Source organism: Homo sapiens, chromosome 13, assembly GCF_000001405.40.
Source record: "Homo sapiens chromosome 13, GRCh38.p14 Primary Assembly".
Classification (NCBI taxonomy): Eukaryota; Metazoa; Chordata; class Mammalia; order Primates; family Hominidae; genus Homo; species Homo sapiens.
Window position 1 is genome coordinate 73,834,674 of NC_000013.11, and position 26,421 is coordinate 73,861,094.

The 26,421-nt window shown below is 36.8% G+C and overlaps 1 protein-coding gene across 20 annotated transcripts in view; it reads right to left on the reverse strand.

Annotated features, from left to right (window-relative positions):
• The window catches only part of KLF12 (KLF transcription factor 12), a 619,957-nt gene that overhangs the window by 148,585 nt on the left and 444,951 nt on the right, over positions 1-26,421 (reverse strand). For all 20 annotated transcript variants that reach the window (NM_001400153.1, NM_001400139.1, XM_011534909.3 and 17 more), the window contains one exon: positions 11,154-11,700. In NM_001400153.1, the coding sequence (NP_001387082.1) occupies positions 11,154-11,700 (547 nt within the window). The remainder of the gene's footprint in view (positions 1-11,153; positions 11,701-26,421) is intronic.

Below are 26,421 nucleotides of genomic sequence, written 5' to 3' on the forward strand. Positions count from 1 at the left end.
GCTAATTTTTGTATTCTTCGTAGAGACGAGGTTTCGCCATGTTGGCTAGGCTGGTCTCGAACTTCTGACCTCAAGTGATCCACCCGCCACAGCCTCCCAAAGTGCTGAAATTACAGGCGTGAGCCACTGTGCCTGGTCCATTTTAATTTTATTTTCTCTCTCTGACATTCTAGGGCACTGGTATCCTTGCTCAGTGGGTTCACCTCTCAGCAAAACTTCCTAGTAGCACACAAGTTGCCATATATACGCTTCCATTTAGCCAACAAACCTAATCCATAGTTTTAAAAAACACTAAGCACAGATACACAGAATGCAGCATTTTTATTTCCACTGAATAGAGTCACATGCAAATGTATAGGATGGGAAGTGGGATAAGCGGGTAGAAGTTAAACCTTTTTTTTTTTTTTGGCCCAAATCAAATATAGTCCTAAAAAATTTTCATACTCTCGAAGTCTAAAAACAAAGTAGATAACTTAGGTCTCGAATTCAGGTTTGAGTTTTACTTAAAAGGGTCATATTCACCACACTGTCTTGCAACACTAAACTAGCTGGGAAAATCCGGGGGCATGGAAGAAAAAATAATTAGGGGCATGGTAGAAAAAATAACTAGATTACCTAGAGTTCTCGTGTCTTTCAGTTCATGTCATTTTAAAATTCTGCCACTAGATGGCAATAAAAAGACTGTCCTTTTCATTACAGGTCTCATGGTTCCATATTACATGACTTCTGGAAAAGGTGATTTGGTTGATATGAAAGAGAAAAATCAAGACTCAGAAAAAGGTAGAATGGTGAGGAGTGGAGGGAGACAGAGAAAAACAACTGAGAAAAGGAAGAAGACAGAAAAATGGAGGGAAGGTGAGAGAAAAAAGGTGTTAGAACTGAGGGGGTTACTTTGAAAGGGAGGTGCAGAAAGGGCAAGGAAAAGGGAAGGGGCTGAGTGAAAGCAAGGAGAGATGCAGTGGGGTCTCTCTGAAACTTTTTGGACAGGAACCACAGTAAGAAATACGTATTTCAGCATGACTAGTATATATACACACCCCCTGCCCGCAGTACCACATTTGCATATATGTAAACAAGTTAATGAACAAAAGTTTCATGGAATAATATTTATTTGGGTGACACTCTCAGATACTTTTCAACCTACTCCATTCTATTTCATTTCTTTAAAATCACTCATTGTGAGCTACTAAACTGATATCCAACCAGAAATGACCCCCAGTGTGATAATCATTTTAGTCTACTGTAAACTAGAGCTGGCTTTTAAAAAGAATTTCTCTTTTAAGTGCCACAGCTAGGACTGGGAGATATTCCTGGCTTTGTAAATTGCCCATAAAACATTTGTTGAATAAATGAACTAATTATTAAAAGAAAAAAAAAAAGGTGAAGCTGCTTGGTCTTGAAAAACACATACAATTGGCCAATGATCAAAGTAGCATTTCCCCTACATAAAGGTGGCTGGAGAAAGAATTGAGTATGTGATTATCACCCAGTAAATTGGTAGCTCTTTTTTATTTATTGGATAGAAAGACAAATATCAATTAGTTGTTTTCTAAAGAATACAAAGCAGAATACCCAGTTAATCAAATTTCCCCATTAACAAAGGAAAACAGGCAGAGTGAAAGAGCTGAGAAAATAGTAACATAGTCTGGAACAGAAAAAGAATTATTAAGGGAGTAAGAAAAAAACAGGGAACAGAAACCACAGCCACAGAGTTGTAAATTATTAAAAAGCCAATTTAAAACCGTGCTGGTAATGATTCTAAGACTAAGTTTCCCTCTTGAATCTCATATTCTTCCTTCTTTCATTTGTTCCTACTAATGAAAAGGTGTTTACTTACTAAATATGTTTTCACATATGTATGTATTTCTTACAGTGAGTATAGATGCCAAAATAATTCTACAAATACTTGCAATCTACTATGTAGAATAAGAATTCCCTTGTAGCATAACAGCACTTGTACTATATGAAATCAGAAGCATATTTAATAAGAACATAATTCCAGGATAGAAAAAATTAGTTTTTTTTAAATAGAACTATTCACAAGGGAAATAAAAGATATTACACATCAAAATCCAATATGTAACATTCAATGTACTAAATATTATCAGAGAAAACTTTTCAGGTTTGGTGAAAAAGTAAATATGTAGATTACATTAGAATACTTTACCAGTAAAATGTAATTTAATCATAGAAGTATTTCTTTAAACACAAACTAGGTCTTTTTATTATAGGAGAAACTTGACCTAATAAATAAAATAGTGTGCCAGGTTACCTTATTCGGTAGTACCTAATATCACCTTACAATGAAATGAAAACAAAGCCCATTTTTTAAACATCTTCTTGCTTTAGCTGCTTTACCTAACAAATGGATTTGACTGTCCTGTTTATCTTCACTTCCTTAAGTAACATCTACCTTTTAAAATGATCCGTCCTGGGTATCCATACCTTCTCCTCTTCCTCCTCTTTTCTCCTTTAAACTTTTATTTACTATTTAATGCAGGGAGGTGGGAGGAGCTAATTAAACTCATTTCTGGGCATTTTACAGTCTATGAGGAGCTTAGAGTTTTCTCCTTTCTGCTAGCTCTCTTAGAACAATACAGACAGCTTCTGTCTCCTCCCTGCGCCAGTTATTATCATCGAATCTTAGAACTATCCTAGTCTATGCCAGATGAAGCAGCGAAATCGACAGATTGTAGGCATTTCAGATAAACAAGAGCGTAAGAAGCCAATTTTTTGATGGAATCTATTCAACCTCTTGTGCATGCCCAGAAGTGAAAAAATGCAGATAAGTTTCTACCATGTTGAAAATCAGGTAAAAATAAACCACAAATCACCAATGTATCTGTAGGAAAAAAAAGGGTTCTGAACTCACAGTGAAAATTCAATATTTCATAAACATGGGCTGCCTGCCTTTCTCTCACTATTTAACAAGCTCCTATCTTTGTTTTGCCATAAGAGTGAAACACTCAAGTCTTATCAAAGCCTATATTTAATAAACATAAACCAAATAACAGCAATATTCCAGTCCCATTTCCCAATAAACAACATTAAAAAAGTAAAGACCATAAGTAACTTGCTAGTTTGTCGATAAAAATCAAATTCTAAATTGAAGAATTAACCTATGGCTAGTAGTCACCATACTTAAGAGTAAACAGAATCAATTCATCAAGGGAAGCAAAGATAACTTCACACATAATCACAGGTCAGCTATCTAGGACTATTCTGTCATATGGATGGGTGACGCCAGGATTCCACCAAATGGTGAACAAAAGAGGACAGTCACATGTAAGGTAGACAGAAGCGAGTCTGTGACATGAACGAAATCTCTAGCAACTGAGTACAGGAAGGATTCATGACCTGAAACAAAGACACCAACAAGTGAGAACGCTGGCGACAGAAGAAAATTAGTGAAACAAAGAGATCTGAAATGGGAAGTTCCATGGGAATAAACTCCAGTTGCATCAACGGGACAGAACCTAGGTCACAATGCGCAATGAGTTTTGCAGCAATCTCTGTGATGACTGTATTTTCTTTCACAAATATAACCAGCATGAGACTAAAAATACACTTGTGGCTTCTTTCTATAGGCTGCTGAGAAAAGCAACAGCCTGTAGGAAGAAAATGGGGTGTATTTCAAATTAGTCTACAGCCACATCCCTTTGAAACTCCTGAATGGATGCTATGAAAATAACATATTTTTGGAGGATTCTTCACCGTGTGTCTGTGTCTAAATATAGTAAGAAAGCAACATTCTTTAAAAGAAGAAGACCAAAGAAATTGCACACCCAAATTGGATTAGTTTCTTAACAGCAGTATCAACATGTTCTACTCAGGTATTTTGGGAAAAGTACTTCATACTCAAGGATCTAAACACATGATTATTTTAATAAGAAATAATGCATTTGGACCTATAATAAGTTATTTTTTCAAGTATGACACCATTTCAATAAAAGTCTTAATGTAATAAATATGTTTTGCTAAATGCTGATAGACTCTGCGCTGCTGGTGTTAAATTTGCATGAAAGAAAATGTGGGATGGTAGGAAACCAGAGCTGGGCTCTTTTTCTTCAAGCAATCTATTTTATTACCGTCATCTGGACATTTGATTGCTTTTGTGTGGCTAAGGAAAAGACAGAAATGTAGCAAAAGGGGAGAAATAGCAGAGCATCTACATAAGTTAATAAAGAACAAAAGGATAGTGGTTAGGAAAGAAAATTGGGCAAAGTAAAATACCCACCTGGCTGCACCAGGCTTCTGCAGGCCCTGATGGTTTGAAAGCCACTGATCAATCACATCCTTGCTCAAGTCTCACTCCCAGGCATCAAGGTTACCATCAAGGTTACTGGCTCAGGTATAGAAGAGAGGAGATGCGTCCTTTTGTTTTTTTCTCCCCAGATCTTTATTTGGCTATGACATTAACTTTTTTTTTTTTTTTTTAAGATGGGATTTGGCTCTGTCACCCAGGCTGGAGTGCAGTGGTGTGATCTCAGCTCACTGCAACCTCTATCTCCTGGGCTCAAGTGATCCTCCCATCTCAGGCTCCTAAGTACCTGGGACCACAGGTGCTTACCACCATACCTGGTTATTTTTTTTTTTTTTTTGTATTTTTGGTAGAGACAAGGTTTCACCATGTTTCCCAGGCTCATCTCGAGCTCCTGAGCTCAAGCAATCTGCCTTCATTGGCCTCCCAAAGTGCTGGGAATACGGGCATGAGCCACCACACCTGTCTGACATTACCTTCTATGTATCTTGAATTTCTAAAATGTAATACCTATTAATGTTTAAATGTAAAAAAATGCCTTTAAAGGACAAAGTAATAATTTGGGACTCATGGTTTATTTTCAGTTATCCTGCACATTCCACTAAACAATGAAGAAAAAATGTTGATCTTATAATTTCTGGTATCATTTTTATAATTATCAATGGAACTCAAATTTTACTTTTATTTTTACTTGTTTGCTAATAATCCAGTAAAGAGTTGAAAATGGACAATCCTAAACAGGAAGAATTATAGAAGCAAAGTCCTTAATTGCACGTTATTGCTTATATTGTACTGTGAACACACCTGCATCTTGCAGTAATTAATCTGAATTCTAAAGTCTATTTATTATGTTGACAAAATTGTTAGGAAAAAGATACATAATGGAAAATGAAAGGAACTACAAAAAACAGAAGATAATGATGTAGGATTATTCCTGATGGCATATAAACTTGCTATACTATCTCCTTCTTTTAAAACCCCTCCCTTGAGAACCTAATGCCTCTCCAGCTCTCATTCCATTTCTCTACAACTCTTTAAAGCAAAACTACTCCAAAGAACTATCGAGACTTTCAGTCTCCTCTTCCTCACCTCTCATCTGAACACCAACTTACTTCAGGCAGTCTTTTGTCCCCACCATTCCACTGACACACTGCAGGTCAGTGTCAACGATGAACACTCCCTCGCCAAATGCACAATTCTCGGTCCTCATTTTATTTGGTCCCTGAGCAGCATTTGATACCATTGACAAGCTGCTCTTGAAAACACGCTCCACCTGCATTCTCTTTAACATTACTCCACTTTCCTCATGAACAGATGAGTTTCCATGCTGACTCTTGCATCCCTCTTCACTTTCTAACCTCACAATGCTCAGGTGTCCAGTCGTCCATGCTTCTCCTTCTCCATTTGGCTCTCCTGAGATGATCCCTAGTGGTACCCAAATTTTATTTCTCCAAATCTGTCTCCTCTTTCCTCTGAGTTCCAGGCTCGCCCACCCAACTCCCATCTCAAGCTCTATTAAAATGTGGAACAGGCATATCAAATTTAACACGTCCCAAAGGGAATTCCTCTCTCAACCCCACTGTGCTCATCTTAGTAGAGAACAATAGGTCAGCCAAAAACCTAGAAGTCACCCTCACTTCCTCTCCTTCCCTCATATCCCACCATCCGACCCATACTGCAATAGTCCCCTTTACTAGTTCTTCCTAGTTCTGCTCCTTCCCCATATTCTTTACAGCATGCAGTGGTTCAACGATTTTTGTAAAAGGTAAAACGGATCATGTCACCCTCCTGTTCATTCTGAACCCAGTGGCTTCCCAACATATTTAAAACAAAACCAAAGACTGTACAGCATTGCCTTGAGAACCTACCAGATCCTTCATTTACCCTCCCCTTCCCTCCCCCTACTTAAGCCTCTCTAGTTCCACCAGCCTCCTAGCAGCTCCTCCTCACAAAGGCCATACTCACTCATGCCTCAGAGTCTTTGAACCTGCAGCTCTCTCTTTTTGCAAAGGTCTTCCACAGCTATTACTGACACAGCTTACTTCTCAGAGAGGCCTTCCTTGATTATACCTAAAGCTGTGCCCCTCTCCCATTAACTTTCCAACTCCCTTATCATGCCTTATTTGTCTTCATAGCACTTGTAGCATCTGATACACATGAACTGTCACTGCTACTAGAATGTAAGGTCCCTGACAGTAGGGACTTGCTCATTTTGGGACACCAATTCCTAGAAATGTGGTTGGTATAAGGTAAATGCACACTGCATATCGGAAGGAAGGAGAATCCTAAACGCGCCTGCTCTTCCATCAAGGCAATAATGAACCAAGAATAACTTTGCCTGAGATCTGTCTTGACCCTCTATGCCAGGGGTGTCCAGTCTTTTGGCTTCCCTGGGCCACAACGGAAGAAGAAAAATTAACTTGGGCCACACATAAAATACACTAACACTAAGGATAGCTGATGAGTTTTAAAAAATTGCAAAAAAAGTCTCATAATGTTTTAAGAAAGTTTACAAATTTGTGTTGGGCCTTATTCAAAGCAGTCCCGGGTTGCATACAGCCCACAGCTGCGGGTTGGGCAAGCTTGCTCAATGCTTTCCTTCTATTAAATATTGGTGAAAGCTAATGAGTGTCTCCCAGGAAATGTGCCACAAACTTACCCAAAAAGGACTTAAATTCCTTTGTGAGGTCAAATAATTCCTTTAGGGTTCGGTTTATAAATATCATGTCTTAGATTGCACAGTATAGGCTGGTGCAAGAGTAAATGCAGTTTATGCCATTCCGTTGACAAAAACCGCAATTACTTTTGCACCAACGTAATAACAAAACTCTCCTCTCTATGTGGGAACCCCGCACCTCCCAGTACCACCACTGTGGGGGGGCTAACTGCTACTTGTCCTTAGGTATCAAGTGGAAAAATGTCTTCCTTGGGAGACGTTTCCTGACATCCTCCCTCTCATAGCTCAATTCTAAATTATGTTTGTTTACTATACCTTCTAGGACATCATTCCATTTTTCTTCATATCACATATTATATCCAAGGCCCAGTAGAGATGTCGGGGTGTTCTGTGCTAGCTGACAACCTGCCATTGCTTTAGATCACTATTCTTTGCACACTTGGAAAGGCTGAGGTTCTAGCCTCACTAGAAGGCATTTTCACACTTCTCAGGAAGGAGTTTTAAAAAAATCTTTGCATGCCATTCTGTCCTTAGTCAAGCATCCCTTGCAGAAGTTTCACCCCACCCCTTCCCAAACCCTCACCACTCCATGAGCATCACAGTAAATACATGTCTTCCTAGAACATGACATCCTACATGAAAATACTTTGGTCAAATACAGCTTTCTCTATTTGCGATTATAATTAAACTCATTCCACTGGGCAACTCCCTGGCTGGTCTATTTTAGTCCAACTCTGTCCACAATTATCAGTTATTTGTTTCTATGATTATTTCGTGGAAAGTCAGTAGCTCTCATTAGACTGTAAGCACTATGAGACAGAAACAACATCTGCTTTGCCCAACACTGTATCTTTGGTGTCAATAAAATGCCTGATAATGATAGATGCACAATAGACAGCTGAAAGGACAAATGGTTCAACTGACAGGACATGTGAGCTTAGACGGATATGCGCATTCACAGTCCTTCACGTAATGTGACATGTAGGGTAACCTATTTCTCTATCAGAGACCAGATACGTTATACCAACTTTAAAAGTAGCCAGTACAATCATCTACATTTATGCATTACACTTTGTATTTTTATTATTAGCATTTTGAAAATCCAACTTCCCTATCGTATTTTCCTTTGCTCATGCATACCAGAAATACACATCCGAAGTAGGAAGGGAAATGGGGGCTCCCTTTATTCTCTCAGCCTTCACTACTGGCTCACCGCCCAGCTGCATATATGCTAAACAAAGAACTGAGGAATTACTGAAATGCCCTTTCCTTTATTCATTCTGTGAGGTAGGCAGGCTTCTTCCACTAGACAGTTTTACTATTACCTAATTAATCAGTTAAGCAATAAAAAAGTATAAAATGCTATAGCAACATTTGTAGAATATGGTGATTATAAAAACTTAGTATAAACTAATAAAAATAGAAAATATGGGATGTCCTCAAATAATTTCTCATACTAAACTCTCATCCCTTATAATTTGTTATTGTAAAAACTTTGAGAAGCAGTTCCATACCAATGTCTTGAGGTAGTTTTTCTGTTTAAAATTCAACAAGTTTTTGTTCCTCCATACTTGTTTTTATAAAAAAGAGAAAAGGTTTTTGAATATTATTGATTTTGGTATTTTTTGGGAGAGATAATAAGTAATTTCAATCATTTATTGATAATTGATGGATGCTAGACATGTATACATTATGTTCTTTTTTTTTTTTTAGATAAGAGTCTCACCCTGTTGCCCAGGCTGAAGTGCAATGGCTCAATCTTGGCTCACTGCAACCTCCACCTCCCGGGTTTAAGCGATGATTCTCCTGCCTCAGCCTCCTCAGTAGCTGGGATTACAGGCGTGCGCCACCACCCCTGGCTAATTTTTTGTATCTTTAGTAGAGATCGGGTTTCAAAATGTTGGCCAGGCTGGTCTCGAACTCCTGATCTCGTGATCTGCCCACATCGGCCTCCCAAAGGGCTGGGATTACAGGCATGAGTCATCACACCTGGCCTATACATTATGTTCCTAATCTTCCCAATAATCTTCTAGGCTAGATCATGTTATTATCCCTATTTTATCACTAATAAAAATGAAGATTAGTGAGATTAAATAACTTTCCCATTTACATAGGTATAAGTGACAGAGCTAGGGTTCTAATTCATACATCCTTGATCCCAAATCTCATATTCCTAATGACCATAGCACAATCTGCAGGGTTTATACTTAAATTTTTATTCTTGATATGAGAAAACTACTGAGTAAAAAATAATGCATGAAACAAATATATTCATGTAGAGACCAAATTATAGCATGAGTCTTAAAAGTTCTACTACAATAATTCATTTTCCAGAAAATTAAATTTTAGCAATATTACTTTATATATACTTTCAAAATAAAAATCTCTCTCACAAAATGATCATGGCAAACAAAAAAAATCACTTTTGTTTCTTTCATTAGTGAATCAAAATGGTATGAAAGATCATGAGCAACATTAATATCTTTATTAATTAACTTTATAATAAAATAATTTTTATCTTATTTTACAAAGATTAGGTTCTATCATGTACACATGTACACATATATAAGATAATATGCAACTTTGCATGTTTTGCTACTTGTTAATTTCGAATTCTTAAAACATTTGCAATATCATTTCTAAATTGTAAAAGAAAATAAATATCTGATTTGGCCTGCAGTTATGTTGTTATTATTCAAATCTGATTTGTTCAGTTCAATCAGAAGTGTCAGCAATATCAAAGAGGGTTTGGCTCAGGTAAAATCCATGAAAAGTTTCCCTAATTCCTCTTCTTCCTCTACGTTTTCACTAGAGAATAGTGGGACTAGCTCCTGGACCATTAGAGAACAAAGGAAAGAGATTATCAAGTAAGCAACGAGTGTCTGCATCTCAAGTTTGCAGTCTAAAAAGCCTGTATGCTCTGAATCATCAGATTTTAGTTTGATTAAACTAGGAAGGTGAAACTTATTTCACGTGTGATAAAGAAACTCACTGCAGATAAAACAATACCTTGCTAATGGTGAATGCACAATTTTGTAATTCATACCTGCAAAAATTTCTGTAAGTTCACAATCAATCAAATGTATTTATTCCCACCTCATACAAGAACCAAAACAACCATATTTACTAGCATTTTATGAGAAGGCAGTGTTTTATGTACTCATCGATCATATTTTAATTACAGGCCTCAGTAGTAATATAGTGTCAAAGCAAAAAGTAATACAACATAAATCTTAATCCATCATTATTTCTAGGCTCTGAAGGCAAAGTACATACATATTATTTACTTTAAAAGGGAATAAGTCAATGATTATGGGCATTCTGCATTTCTATTGAGGGGTGGCTTGGTTTTTAGATTCATGGGTAGTGAAGAAAGAGAAAAGACAGCATGATGCCACCGCAATTTCTTCTAGTAAAATTCAGGGAAAAAAAAGAACTTAGAAGAAGAAAATAACTTCATGACCAGCTGCATAACTATCAAATTTAATGAAATAACTAGTGATGATTACACATAGTCATGTAGCAAAGTTATCTTCCTGCCTTCTACCCTAAAAGGGAATATTAATATTGCATCTTGAAATATTTCCAGTATATTGAGTCATCCTGTCCCTTAAAATAATAACTTAGCCTTATAAGAAGTTAGTAACACAAGCTACATGATACTACTATAGTCAAACACCTAATTCTAGAATTATTTTAATGGCAACTTAATTTATAGGTTACTCAAAAGTGAATGATTAGATTCCAGGCACTGCAACTTCACAACATTGTATATTATTATCACCTAAATAAATTCCAACTGAACAACTCAACAAAGAAACATCCGGATTTACTTAAAAAAATTTACAATTCATAATCAGTAATTTATACTTCATAAGCAATTATGTTCACCATAGATTGCCCTTTCCAACTGAGGACTTAAGAGCATTTCAAAGCAAGTATTATTTTGCAAACTTAGATATCTGAATTCTAACATTACGTGACCTATGGTAAGTAAAAATACACTAAGCAAAACTGGAGCATATACCTACATAAACATAGGGTGAGTTCCCTCTAAACTGTGTTCTACTTAAGGCTGAACAGCTGGTGTCTCCACGTTGCTCTACACAGAACTTCTTTAGATGTAGTGTTTGTATACAATTTAGGTTTTGTTCACTGCAAAAATGAAGTCACCTCTAGTGCTGAAATAAATCAAGGCTTGTTTATGTCTCTTACCTTTGCCATGGCCTCTCCCATCCTCCAAAAGCGGCACGACAATAGTGTTGTTCACATTTCCAGGTGACCTTACAGCTGTGTAGACAACAGGCACCGACTGTACCACCACGGGGATGCGGTGAACATGACTCAGTTTGTTAGACTGTAAATTCATGGGACTTGAAGGCGGTACGGGATGGATAATGTGCAAAAACTGCTGGCCTCCAACACCAGATGCAGAGGCCACAAGGGGCCCTGGAGTTAATACTGTTGACGAAGATGACGCTGAAGATACTGATGTGATAACAGTTGGGGATGAGGCTAGACGACTAGAAGACGATGAAGAGGTTGAAGTTGAAGAAGGTGAGGAGGCAGATGCTGTCATGGAAACTGGGGAGGATGAAACGGCAGTAGGGGACGTCCTGGCTTTGTTTATTGACAAGTCCACTGGCTCAGTTTGTGTTTGGAAGTGATCTACAGATAACGAGTCCTCCGGGGGCTCCCCTTTCACATTATTTAGCAACAGGGGAACGGCTTCCATATCGGGATAGTTGTGGACGTTTGGAGACTGTGGGGAGAAAAATGGAACATATATTTATCTTTGTTTATCACACATTTTATCGATGCATGGCTTACCACTTGAACGTTTATTACTTTTTCTCTTATTGCTATGGGACATTTATTCGTTCTCCAAATATCTGAAGGATTGCTCAGAGACAGTCACTGTGATTAAAACTGAGGGCATAAGAGTACAAAACAGAATAAGGCCTCTACCATAAAGACATTTTCATTCCATTGGGACAGATAGACAATTATTAAAATACTATGAAATCAGTGCTCTATGAAGGAGAAAAGAGGCCATATGAATCTCTAGGATTCTAACCCTTACTCAACACTATCACAATACGGAAACATATTACCTGGCAACAATAGTGGGAAAACTCACTATGACATTTCTACTTTCATACTTGTTGCAAGAGTTACCATACCATACTCAGTATATTCTGAGCATTAAAAAAGGGCATAAAGTTCTTCAACCTCCCACACCTGATCACTAATTTATTAAATGGAAGTCATTTCTAATAATTAGCTAACTCTTCTCAAAATAATGTGCACAACTACAAGTGACATTTTAGGAAATAATAATTTAAGAAAAACTTATCCTGAAAATTATAATTTGTCTATGAATTTTCATTTAATCTGAAATAATGATGATAATGTTGTTCAAGTTCACCTGCACTCTTTTAAGTTTTAATGAGCAAAATTTGATAATAATAGACTCCAAGATTTTACCCAGACTAATGTGATCAGCATGCTATTATTTGCATGAATATAATTTTACTCATATATCTATTCATTCATAAATTCAACAAACATTTATGAAATGTCTGCTTGCAAGTCCCCAAATGGCATAAGAGTACTATTAGTGGTGTCAGTCTAGACTAAAAAGAGAGAATTAGACTCTACTGATTATTTTGGTTACATCTGTTTGGCCAGGTTAACATAGACATTATTTTCCCATTTATGAGGAACAAAAACTTTTTTTCACTTTTTATGGATCAGAACAATACCTAAAATTATATTAAATTGGTTCATTTTGTTCCTCATTTAATAAAAGATTTTGGTGTGCTATTCCCCCTAAAACTTCGGCATACATTTAAAGGAATGAAACATGTTTCCTAAAGCCTTTTTAAAATAGAATATAAATTACAGCTCCATTCAAAACATACAATAGGCAGTAGCACACGGGCATTTTACTCAGCAACTGAGAAAAGAAAGAAAATAAATCAGTAATGGTACCAGATCAACTAAAATAGGAAATGGGTTGATGTTTTAATGCTGTTTTTCCTTTTTCTTAGCTAACATGGTTACTTACCTATAAAAACAAATGACTTAGAAACAATTAAAATGAGTCATCTAAAATATCTACTGTATGAAATTCTAAATGACAAGATTTTCAGTTTATGTGCTGAAATTGAGAAATAAATTTTTAATCTTTTCAAAGACATTTAAAAAACAAAGAAAAAACAAACACCATAAATTGAACTGCTTTGATAAAAGCTATTAGCATTATCTACTCTTGTAACTAGAACAGTATTTCAATTTCAGCATTATCATTTTATTTCTTTGTAGAATAATGCAAAATGTTTCTTATTACTATATTATACCCACATAGAAATTCTTTGCTTAGGTTGCTTTCATAAAAGACATCAACTAGTTTGTCATTAAAAGATAAAACATATCAGTAAGCACATATTATTAAACACCACTAGTTTGACTTTAAATATAGTCTAGGTAAGTTTTTCTCCTTTTACCGTATCAACATATCAAAAATTCTTATTTTAGAGAGAGTGATTACTTCCACCACAAATTTTTCTCCTCCTGTCTACTTAGACACAAGATTCCTACATACATTTACAAATCAAGGAGTAAAGAGTACATCACTGCAGAAATGTTCTATAATGTAAATGAAAGTTGACTGGGTAGACAGACAATACAGGAGGGGGAGCTGATAAATGCGGACCTTATCTGTAAGGAGATTGCTTGTGAGGCACCAAGTTTTACTGAGCTTTGCAGACTGCTTAGTCTTCTCTAAATTATCTTTGTTTATCACACAAGTCTACCTCTTGTGGGTATCTTCTTAATCTCTTACTGAGGAAAATATTTACCTCTTAAGAAGTTTCATAACAACATCTTGTTGCTATGAACAACAGGGTTATACCTCATAAATAATATTAGCTATATATTATATATAATATATATAACATATATATAGCATATTATATATAATACATATAGCATATATAATATATAGCTATATATTTTAGCTAATGCATATTAGCTTTCATTAGAAACTTGTGAAGCCAAATATTAAGAGCCCCTAGGTACTTTGAGACACTTAAGAATTACATGGCTTTTGCATGAGCTCAAACCAGAATATAGAAAAGGCTCACAAAAATAAGGAAGAATAAACCAAACTTTGGGACCAAAGAAATCTTATTGAGAACCTTCTACAAATTACACATGAATTTGTAAAATCACAGAGACAGACGCTGGTCCTTTTTCATATGTGGCAGCTGAAATGCAGCTAGCACACTCAAAAATAATGCTTCATCAGTATAAACAGGACAAAATCCTTCTTGTACCATTCATCTGTTTACAGCGTTGACACAGCAGCATATCCTGACAGCCGACACTAATCTCTTATGCAATGATTATGGTGCAGGTAAAGTCATCCATAATTGCAGCTTCAGATTACACAGACATATCTGTAAAGCCAGAAGTACTGCAAAAATATGGTCTCAAAACAGCTATGGCACATACTTGTGTTCCTCCTTTTAGGGAAGAAAAACGACCCAAAAGTCTTACTCCTGAAATCATCATTAGAAATTCATTTCTTTACTTTTAGGAAATGGAAAATCAAAAGCATTGGTTTTGTGGTGCACACCTGTAATCCGAGCTACTCAGGAAGGTGAGGCAGAAGAATCGCTTGAACCCAGGAGGTGGAGGCTGCAGTGAGCCAAGATCATGCCACTGCTCTCCAGCTTGGGCAACAGAGGGAGACTCCATAAAAAAAAAAAAAAAAAAAAAAAAAGCATTGGTTCTGAGATTTGCATCTGTAAATGTGTGGTTGTGCTGACAGGAAGGGAGCACTACAAATGGCCACAAGGGGGAACGAAGGCTGAGGAGATACAAAGGAAAGAATCCCAAGTAAGAAATACTTAGAATAGTGAAAATTAAATGAAAGGATTACAAGTATTAGAGAAAGCGAGAGGAGATACGGGGTATGCCACTCAGGAACCAGCCTCAAAGGGGATAAGAACACTGAAAAGAGGAGAAACAACAAAGAAAGGTCGTAAGTTTTAAGCACAAGGAAGAGACACTTCTGCAAAAAGGACAAAGAATTCCATACTAACATTTTGCCCTTGTTTAGTAACTCCTCAATTCTTGATTCATTAATGAATTCTCATGGCAGTGTCAACTAAGTGGGGTTTTTTTGTTTGTTTTTAAATAAAAGCCCATCATGATCTTTGCCTGGGAGTGGTGACTATAGCTGAATTTTTGCTGTTGATGTCCCTGGTATGAAAGATAGAAGACTTACTGTATTCATATTCATGCTAAAACCCTCCTTCTAACAACATGAAGATTGTATAAGAACACTGGATTTTTGTCAAAGAGGAGAGTAATTTCATTTTCCAAAAGATTATATAATATTCCTTGAAAAGGTACACTGTAAAACTTAAATTTTTATAATACATATTAAATAATTGCACAAATACACACAAAAGGCCAGAAAAGTAAATGGAACAATATACTTCATTAAAAACAATGTGTGTGAAAACCTAAAGATAAACATAAGGATTATGCTGTCACATTGTCTTTTCTCCAAAAGTCTCAAAGCCAGTTTTACTCACATTAACCCACTTGATAAAATATTACATATAACATTCCAGTGAACATGTTTTTTTTGAGTGATCTGGAAATTACATTTGAGGTTTTCTAATCAGATAACTTTTTTTTCCTGAATAAACATCTTAAAATGTAATTTCAGCTTTAGGCATTTTGTTGAATGAATGTCAAATGAATCTAAAACCTCCTACTTGTTAGTTCCCAGAGTACTAGATGTGTTTCCTACAGTTATCTATTGCTATCAACTGAATTTTATTACAGTCTGTCTGTGAACAAAACAATTTTAAATGATGGTCGTATATTTTAATCACCTGGAATTTAAAAAGAAAGAAAAATATGTCCGGATACTACTCTATCTTTGGAAACCCCTCCAGGGATTTTTCTGTGTAGTCAGAGCTGAGGAGCAATGCATAATATTCTACTAAATGTCGTTCAAGATTCACATGCTCTTTCCTCTTTAGTAACACCAGCAATGTTTAGAGATGGGGCTGACATACATGGGCATTCACACGTACACACAAGATGGTCCCAGCTATCTATCTATCCTTTCAGTCATCGGTCATTTAAATAAATTATGTTCCATTTTACTTTTACAAATGTGTTGAGAAATAATTTCATGGCAATTTTTAGAAAAGATTATAAAGTAACTTGCCTAACATTACATAGCTCATGGCTTAACTGTCACAAGAATCTTTGTTTTGTATCCTGTTGTGTGATATTATACAAAGAAAATTTTATTTGGACACAAAAGACTTAGATTCATCACCAATCCTTGTTGTTTATTAGCTGTGCGATCTTGGTATCATCACGAAAATTCTCTAGGTCTTAGCTTATCCATCTATAAAAGTGTGATGTTAATTCCAAACTCATACAACGGTTGTGAAGATTGGGTTAATGGCATTAAGTGCTTTTTAAGTAATACTGAGAAATGAGAGAGACAAGCAAATGAGCAGAACTTCCTCCGGTTAGAACTAAAAATTCCAAACAGAACTTACTCTATTACTAAAACTATCTCAGGAGGAACTTGACTCACTGAATGTAGCGTAAGATATATTCTGACACAGAATCTCATAAATACAGTCATTGCGGAGGCACAGTGTTTACTGAACCAAATAAATACATGTTACAAAAAGCTGAACAAGTCATCTTTAGGGATCTCTTATGATTATTTAGAAACAATTTTCTCTTAAAATATAGACAACTGTCATTTGATACTTTTTTTTCCTCTACTTTCTAGCTGAGTTAGATTGGCCCACAGGAAGATCATGTAACAGTTGATGGAATACATTTTAACTGACTGGCCTGATTTCTTAATTCCACAGTATAAATAACTTAAATCAATCCACACTTCAGTGTGCATCCATTATGACAATAATATAACAAATAGATTCAAATAATTGCTTTGGGATGTTGGTCATTCTTTAGCAGTCTTATTATGAGACAATACAGGAGCATATTTGTTTCTTGTGTCTTGGTAGAAAATTAGTTTACATAAATTTCACTGTGTGACTTAGTGATTAATTGAACATGTACCTTTTATAGGAAGTGCTTAAAGAAATTTACTCTATTTCACATTAAAAAGGAATTAAACTAAATCTATGACTCCACATCCTTGGAGCTTTTAGGTTACGCTGCATTATTTTAAAGACTAGTATATTTTAGGTGAAGAGCCAAATTCCTTTTGAACATGAAGTGCACAGTAGGTACATGGCTTAGTTTTGGTGCCTGGGTTTCCCTTAGTAAATACAATTTTTTATTAGTAGTAAATGAAATGGTTTTAAGAGATGAGCACCATTCTTAAAAGAAGCATCCCGCAACTCTGGCTATTTCTGCTACAAGTATAAAAGTCACCACACATCCATTTGTGAATGGAGTATGCATTTCACTTTCCTCTATTCTTTTGTATTACTAAAAAGGGAAGCCTATTTTTCAATATTTGTCTTGCATGAGCCCCCATGGTCATAATTTACCTTGCTTTCAGCTCAGTGATTCTTCTTTACATGTTCAAGGGCAAACTCTTAAACATAAATGCCGTAAAAGTGTGAATTTATAAAACTGACAAAAACGTAAAGCAAAGTATACTAAAGAAAGATAAATTGTACTTCCTCTAAAAGTACAGATGACAGAGTAAAAGGAAACAAGTAGAAATATCCTACACTGATAACCTGGAATTTGGTTTGAATGAGTTATCTACTGCATGCAAGGGGAAGATATTTGAATAAATATTTAATTCAACTGCCTTATATCAATATGTCAATTGTCAGTTTAAGAAATGATTGATTCCGGCCAGGCACGGTGACTCACGCCTGTAATCCCAACATTTTGGGAGGCTGAGGCGGCGGATCACTTGAGGTTAGGAGTTCAAGACCAGCCCAACATAGTGAAACCCAGTCTCTACTAAAAATACAAAAATTAGCCGGGCGTGGTGGCGCGTGCCTGTAATCTCAGCTACTGGGGAAGCTGAGGCAGGAGAATCACTTGAACCCAGGAGGCAGAGGTTGTGGTGAGCCGAGATCGTGCCACTGCACTCCAGCCTGGGTGACAGAGCGAGACTCCATCTCAAAGCAAAACAAAACAAAACAGAAATGATTGATTCCTTAAGAAAATTTGAAGTCTATACATCAAATAATGTACTCTCTGTGCTTTTACATTTATGTTTTTTTTTTTTTTTTGAGACGGAGTCTTGGTCTGTCGCCCAGGCTGGAGTGCAGTGGCGCGATCTCAGCTCATTGCAAGCTCCGCCTGCCGGGTTCATGCCATTCTCCTGCCTCAGCCTCCCAAGTAGCTGGGACTACAGGCGCCCGCCACCATGCGGCTAATTTTTTGTATTATTAGTAGAGATAGGGTTTCACCGTGTTAGCCAGGATGGTCTCGATCTCCTGACCTCGTGATCCGCCTCCCTCGGCCTCCCAAAGTGCTGGGATTACAGGCGTGAGCCTACATTTTTAATGCTTTTTTACATATGAATTGAATTGAAAATGCTAACCTTTAAAATGTGTTCAATACACACATTTAAATTTATCCTAAAGTTCTCTTACTTCCTAATAGTTATATTTTTTCATGACCTATTTACCAGGACTTTCATAAATCATATTATTTACCTGAAGCAAATCAGAATCTATGTTTACAGCTGACTGCTACTCTGAAACTCTGGTTTGGCCCATGTGTGTGATGACTTTAGGTTGGTGTGAGTGAGTGAGGAGGAGACAGGGAATTTTGTTCATGCATTCTAAAATTGGTAAGCAGGACAGGCGTGGTGGTTTACACCTGTAATCCTAGCCAAGGCTGAGGCCAGCAGATCATCTGAGGTCAGGAGTTCAAGACCAGCCTGACCAACATGGTGAAACCCTGTCTCTACTAAAAAAATACAAAAATTAGCAGAGTGTGGTGGTGGGCGCCTGTAATCCCAGCTACTAGGGAAGCTGAGGCAGGAGAATCGCTTGAACCTGGGAGGTGAAGGTTGCAGTGAGCTGAGATTGCGCCACTGCACTCCAGCCTGGTCGACAGAGTGAGACCCTGTCTAAAAAAAAAAAAAAAATGGTAAGCAGACATTCCCAAGGACTGAAAACATGGACAAACATTTTTAAACGGGAACATAAATGTGTTCCAGATAAATACACAAACCTTTAGCAAATAGAAGATATTTTCTTTTACCATATAACTAGGGAATATACATCACACTTGTTAGCTTGGAATATGGTGCTCAAGATGTTTTGAATTTTAAATCCTACTTATATGGCCAGAAGAAGTAGTAGTATCACTATAACAGGTCAAAAACGGAAGCTGGATTAAGTCCTATTATCTTGCAATTGTTTTTAAACAACATTTCACAAAGCACACAAAAATGTCTTAAAAATAAAGAGGTAACTATTATAGGGTTATCTTTTCCTCATGATTAGAATTTTGTTCTTTTGGTTTTAAATTAATGTTATTATTCATTGCATGACTTAAAATATTAATTAAAATTTCACTATACTGCCAGAAAAACCTGTTGTATAGACTTTTAGGGGATAAATCTTTATCCTAAACCACAATCTCACTCCAGTGCCTGAGGCAAATGTTCTGTGCTAGATACATATTTTAAAATATGCAATAATGTTTATCATCCTCGAACAGATTAATCTCTGCTACCAGATGGGCCCTGCTTTTGATTCTATAAAATGTTCACCATAAACAGTTATTTCTTACAACAGTATCTCATAGTATTGAAGTATATCAAATTTCAGAGAAAGAAAACTTGACCTCAGAGTGGCTGTAACAGTCAAATGATACATTTAAAAACTCCTACACAGGATAAACATGTAAAGCAAAACTGTAACCTTTTTATGTAAACAAAGGCATATTAGCAAAACAATGGCTTTGCTTTTTGGATAACCCAGTGGTTCCTTTGGTAGTATCCATGGGGGATTGGTTCCAGGACCCCCCTCCACCAAGGATACCAAAACTACAGATGCTCAAATCCGTGATATAAAATGGCACAGTATTTGCATACGGCCTACACAAATCTCCCCATATACTTTAAATTATCTCCACATCACTTATAACATCTAACACAATGTAAATACAATGTGAACAGTTGTCATTTCGTATGTTTTCATTATCTCTCCAATCCTAAAACTTTCAATCTGCAGTTGGTTGAATCCGCAGATGTGGAATCCAGGGATATCGAGGGACAACTGTATATACTTGTCTTCTAATAGAAAACACTTTTAAAGAGAGATACACCACCAGGCCAAGGCAAGACTAATGGTGAAGTGGAGAGAAATCTCTCTTTTCCTACCTCTCCTGGAAACAGAGGCAGCTGCAATGGGTAAGTGTCACAAATAGAAAAGCCAGAGTTTTGAAAGGCCCCAGAACTTTTCCATGAGCAGTGGATTTATTTATTTTTCAAATTTTATTTTAGAATCACAGAGTATATGTGCTGGTTTGTTATATGGGTATATTATGTGACACTGAGATTTGCGTTACGATTCATCCCATCATCAGGTAGTGAGCACAGTACCCAACAGATAGTTTTCCAATCCTTGCCTCCCACCCCCAATAGTACCCAGAGTCTATAGTTGCCATCTTGGTGTCCATGTGTACTCAATGTTTAGCTCCCATGTATAAGTGAGAACACGTGGTATTTGGTTTTCTGTTTCCATGTTAGTTCGCTTAGGATAATGACCTCCAACTTCATCCATGTTGCTACAAAGGCCATGATTTCGTTTTTGTGTGTGTGTGTGGCTGCATAGTATTCCACGGTGTATATGTACCACATTTCCTTTATCCAGTCCACTGCTGGTGGGCATCTTGGTTGATTCCACGTCTTTGTTATTGTGAATAGTGCTGCAATGAATATATGGATACATGTGTCTTTTTGATAGAATGACTTATATTCCTTTGGGTATATACCAGTAATGGGATTGCTGGGCCGAATGGTAGTCCAGCTCTTACTTAAGAAATCTCCAAACTGCTCTCCACGGTGCTTGGACTAATTTACATTCCCAACCAAGGGCGTATAAGCACCTCATTTTCTCTGGGGGTCCCTCCAAAATATGTTACTTTTGTTTACTTAACAAAAGCCATTCTGACTGGTATGACATGGCATCTCATTGTGATATGGCATCTCATTGTGATTTGATTGAGCAGTGAATTTAATTGCATCTCAACTCACTATGAAATTAATAAAATACATTCACATAAACCAACACTTTAGCCTTGGCTTTTGTCTTCCAGGTAAAGGAGTATACAGTCATACAGGTGTTTCTGAGGATCCCAGAGGGTGACACTATCTAAGGCTGTTGTAATGGGCCCTTTTTGGACTACAACTGCCACCAGGCACACACAGGTATATGTAATTAATGCATTTAAGTAGGAGAATAAATTGTACAAATCAAGCCCCCATTGCCTAGACTGGTCAAGACAGCAGCATAAGCAAAATGGGAAAAGAGCCAGGCTGGGGACTTAGAGATGAAGGCAGGCACAGGGAGGCAGAAAGGAGGACAACTGATGTTCCCGAAAAGGGGGCCATGCCCGCCAGCCACAGCTTCTGCTAATCAGGTGTGAGTTACAGTGACACGAAGACCCTCAGCTCAATGTTCCTCTTGGCTGGGATGCTTATCCATCAGAAACAAGAATTTTAAAAAATGATCACAGCAATGCTGACAAGGATGTAGGAAAACTGACACCAATATTATGCTACAAGATAGGAAGGTACGCGTTTTAAGGAATCCTGTTGAACTGTCTCAAAAGTCTTAAAATACCTTAGAACTAATAACTACACATTTAAGAATCTAGGAACTGCCATCTTCCTCTCTTCCTCCCACCCTCCCTCCTCCATACACGCACCCAGCCACCCACCTACTTGCACAGTCACCTCTTGAGCAGAGGAGTGACCCTATATTCAGAATCCATTCAACATCTATCCCTAACTACTCAACTTTAAAAAATAAGGTAATGTTTGGAAGTGGCACCCTCAAGCAAATACTATTTAAACCAAACAAAAAAAGGGCCTGGAGCAGTGGCTCATGCCTGTAATCCCAACAATTTGGGAGGCGGAGGTGGGCAGATTGCTTGAGCTCAGGAGTTCGAGACCAGCCTCGTCAACATGGTGAAACCGTCTCTACTAAAAATACAACAATTAGCTGGGTGTGGTGGCGTTTGCCTGTAGTCCCAGCTACTCCAGAGGCTAAGGCATGAGAATCACTTGAACCCAGGAGGAGGAGGTTGCAGTGAGCCGAGATCACGCCATCACACTCCCAACATGGGTGAGAGAGTGAAACCCTGTCTCAAAAAATAAAATAAGATAAAATATAATAAACTAAAATTAAAATTAAATAAATTTTAAAACAAAATAAAAAAGGAGTCAAGGAAAGTTAAGGCAGATTTAGTCATGATTCCCATGGAATGATCTCACAATTTCAAGTGTTGGAACACCAGAAGCAGCTTTCTAAAGACAGTCTTTATGTTTGAAAGATTACATATATAGCAACCATTTCAATTTCATGCAAATAAGCACTTCAGATTGTTTTGAGAGAACATCCCAGGGGCAACATCACTGATTTAAATAGCACTGTATCTACAGCAAACTGGACAAGAATCAAGATGACGTGTTCTAGAAAACTTTGTTAGATGACTTAAAAAGGGGCCTGGTGAGGACACAGAAAATGATGTTGAAATTGCTTGTAAAGATACTGAATGAAATAATGACATAAAATTTGAGAGTCTAGGGAAACTTCATATGTTAAAATTTATATATTTTTGTATAAAATGTGACGGAATTTGTTTTTTAACTAATACATTCAAATATTAACACTCTTAAGGTGAAATTATCTACACATTTATACATTCTAGTTGGTTACAAAATTTCCTTCCTGGGGAAATAGGGCTAACTTACTGCAGGGACTTACATTTAGACACAGATGGCAATTTTAAATTTTGAGAAAGATGTCTATATGGATGCGTAACTTTGTCTTATTTTGGGGAGTAAAAATTAGAAACCAAAACATGGACATAAAAGCAATCAAGTTTGAAACCAAGATTTTAACCTTAACTATTCACTGCAACCATTTATGAAACATTTTAAAGGTGCAAAGAACAGAGACCTATGGCAGTAGGTATGGTGTAGACATCAACAGTTTACAAAGCATTATATGTAATTCTAATAATCAGACAAGTTTGAGAAACAATATTCAATGGCAGGGAAACTTTTTGTATAATGTTAAGTGAAAAAATGTTAGTATACAAAACTATACAAAAAGTATGAGCTTAATTTTGTCCCCCCAAAGCATTCTCATTTATACATGAAAATAATACATGGAAAAAAATGTTCTGGAATGTTAACAATAGTTTTTCCATTAAGTGAATTTGTGGGTGAACTACATTTTCTTTTTTATCTTTTTTCCTATATTTTCTACAGCAAATCTTTGCTACTTTTAAAATTTTAAAAGTCATATTTTTAGAAAGAAAAGTATTTTGAGAAAGAAATCTAAAAGGGGAGCAGAGGCTTTTAAAATCTGGTTTTCATATTTCTAGATCCTAGTGAACAATAATGTCATTAGAAGAAAATATTCTATACTGTTAAAAGCTCAATTTGCTAAGTGTGTCACTAGTATAAGTTTTAGACTGGTGGCATGATTTTTCCATAAAAATTAACACATCCACTTATAATTTGAAATTAACTAAGGAAAACAGCTAAATATAACTGATAACTGAAGGTATGTGATTCTAGTTTCCCCAGTGGATTAAAACAATGGTGTTCCCTGGGAATCCCAAACTGCTGCATTACCGGGTGATTTACTGGGCGAAGAATTTCATGTTCTAGAAACTACCATCAACAATTACCTATCAGCATCTGGGTATTACAAGGCCTTTTCTGTTTTTGATGAAAAGCTTTCCATCAGTAACTATTTAGTGATCATTACTATATAATCAACACAACATTGTGATAAATCTGAGGATGCTACAAAAGGATTTTTAACCCTTGCTCTGGTAACAGCATTTTCCCCCCTAGAGATTTAATGAGATTTCCATCACTTTTTAAAAGTGAACTACATTTGGAAAACATGAAAAGGAAAAGTAATGGGGAAAGTTTCAACCCTATATTCTATAAAAATGGAGAGCATTAAGAACTAATTTGAGGAAAACAGAATTGTGCTCTTTAAATCAGTGTCTTCAGAATGCATAAACTGAAAAAGTAAATGTTCAAATAAGTGTTATAAAGACTGTGAAATCAATTTTAACTGATGATTTTAAAACGCAGGAAAAAAAGCAACATTTACCATTAATATTTACTACAACATTATCTGGCAGATGGTGTACGGGACAAACATTTTTGCTCTCATTAGGTGGTGGGGTAAAACCCAGAAAACTGGGTTCACTTCGCTGGAGTATGGGAGGAGCCTCTCTGTCATTAGGTCTTTTCTGGGGCAAGTGACAGCAACTCCCTCATCTACAGAAACTGGTGCCAATGCACTTCAGTCTTCAGCAGCTTTCCAGGTTCACAAAAGTCTGTGGGGTAGGGAGAGCTTCTAAGGACCACATGCAAAACAGGGAGCAGGGGCAGGCAAGAGCTTTCTCTTCCGGTAAAGTTTTCCTCTCTAGTTTTACAAGTGAAGAAATTCGGTCTCACGGAGGTTGAAGACATTGCCCATGGCCCCAGTGGAACATAGACCTGTAATCTAAACCTACGGGTAATTCCTAAGACTGAATCCACCTCCCCATGCTGCCTGCATCAGCCCTGGAGAGGAAGAGAAAGACCTCCCGTCCTTATTGGTGAAATTTCCTCATGGAATTCATGTGCAATTAGTACGTGGAAATACCAACTGAAGAGAATATAAAATAATGGGCACTGCTAGGATAGTTGTAAGCTACAACCCACTTCCCCAATATACCTTGCATATAATAAATTTAATGGCATGATGCAGATGTCAGTTACCAACATCATAATGTCTATTTCTTATTTAGTTCCCGTTTGTTCTCAAGTCAGCCTTTAGAAAAATAAGGACAACAAAAATCCTTCCTCATTTAGGAATAGAATCCTGCATTTTGTGCAGTGGTCATGCTGTATGGGATATGTGTTTGAAAGAAATGAGAAAAGACGGTAGGATAAAATGGAAAAAAAAAAATCCGAAACCAAAAACCTCATTAGATTTGAAAGCGAGTACAATTAGCATTGTAAGCAGAAAAATCAGCTCACCACAAATGTAATTTCTTTTCTTCCTTTCCTTTCAAGCTAAAGACTCATAACTTTTTTTAAAAAAAGTTTTATTTTTGACCAATGATGAGTGCTCTTTGATAAAACCAATGTAATAAAGCGGAACTTTTGCAAATAGGACAATAAGTGAGAAGAAATGCAGTGTGGTTTTGTGAAAAGGATACATGCCTGAGTTCCGGTCTGGGTTGCGTTTTATATGATCAGTTCACTCATTGTCTCTCTTCAGTTTCTGATTGAAGATGATGTTGATCATGCTTTTGCACAGTTCAGGTGTCTGTTATCTCCTCCAGCTGTACCAGATTCCACCTGTTCTAAATTAGATGCCACTCTTCTGTGCTTCCAAAGCACTCTGAACTTTGTGCTTCTTTCTCTTACGAGGCGGCCATGGGCCCACCAAAGATATCATTTTTATCTTGTTCTTTTGTAGACAAGCACCTATCACAGTCCCCAGTACAAAGTAAGCACTTAATTAAAGCTCATTAGTAAAGCTCCAGTTGCTCCCCAAAGGCCTTACTGGGTCTCAGATTGAATATATCTACGGGCCACATGCAGTGGCTCACGCTTGTAATCACAGCACTTTAGGAGGCCGAGACCGAAGGGTTGCTCGAGCTCAGGAGTTTGAGACCAGCCTGGGCAACACAGAGAGACCTTGTCTCTACTAAAAATAAAAAATAAAAATAAATAAGCTGGGTGTGGTGGTGCACACCTGTAGTCTTAGCCATGCCAAAGACTGAGGAAGAAGGATCACTTGAGCCCAGAAAATCGAGGCTGCACTGAGCTATGATTGCATCACTGCATTCCAGCCTGGGCGACAGAGTGAAAAAAAATCTATGAATTAATTACCCCGTGACTAAAACTTAAACGGTAAATATATTAACTTATTATAACATATAAAAATGAAAGTTGAAAGTTTCCAGTGCCTCATTCTTTTGTTAAAGAATTTAAATTTATCAATTGATATTTAATTCCTCCCACTACAGAACTTTAAGTGACTAGTTTCCATGTATTACAAGATGATTTTTACAAGAAGAGATGAAAGACACACTTCCAAGGGGCTAAAAATCAAATGTATGAGTCATATTTTGTATTTTTGCTAATTTGAAATACATTTTTTATAACTAGAAAATTTATAATTAGCATCTCTCAATATGTCACAGTAATAGGAAGTTAAAAAATAACACT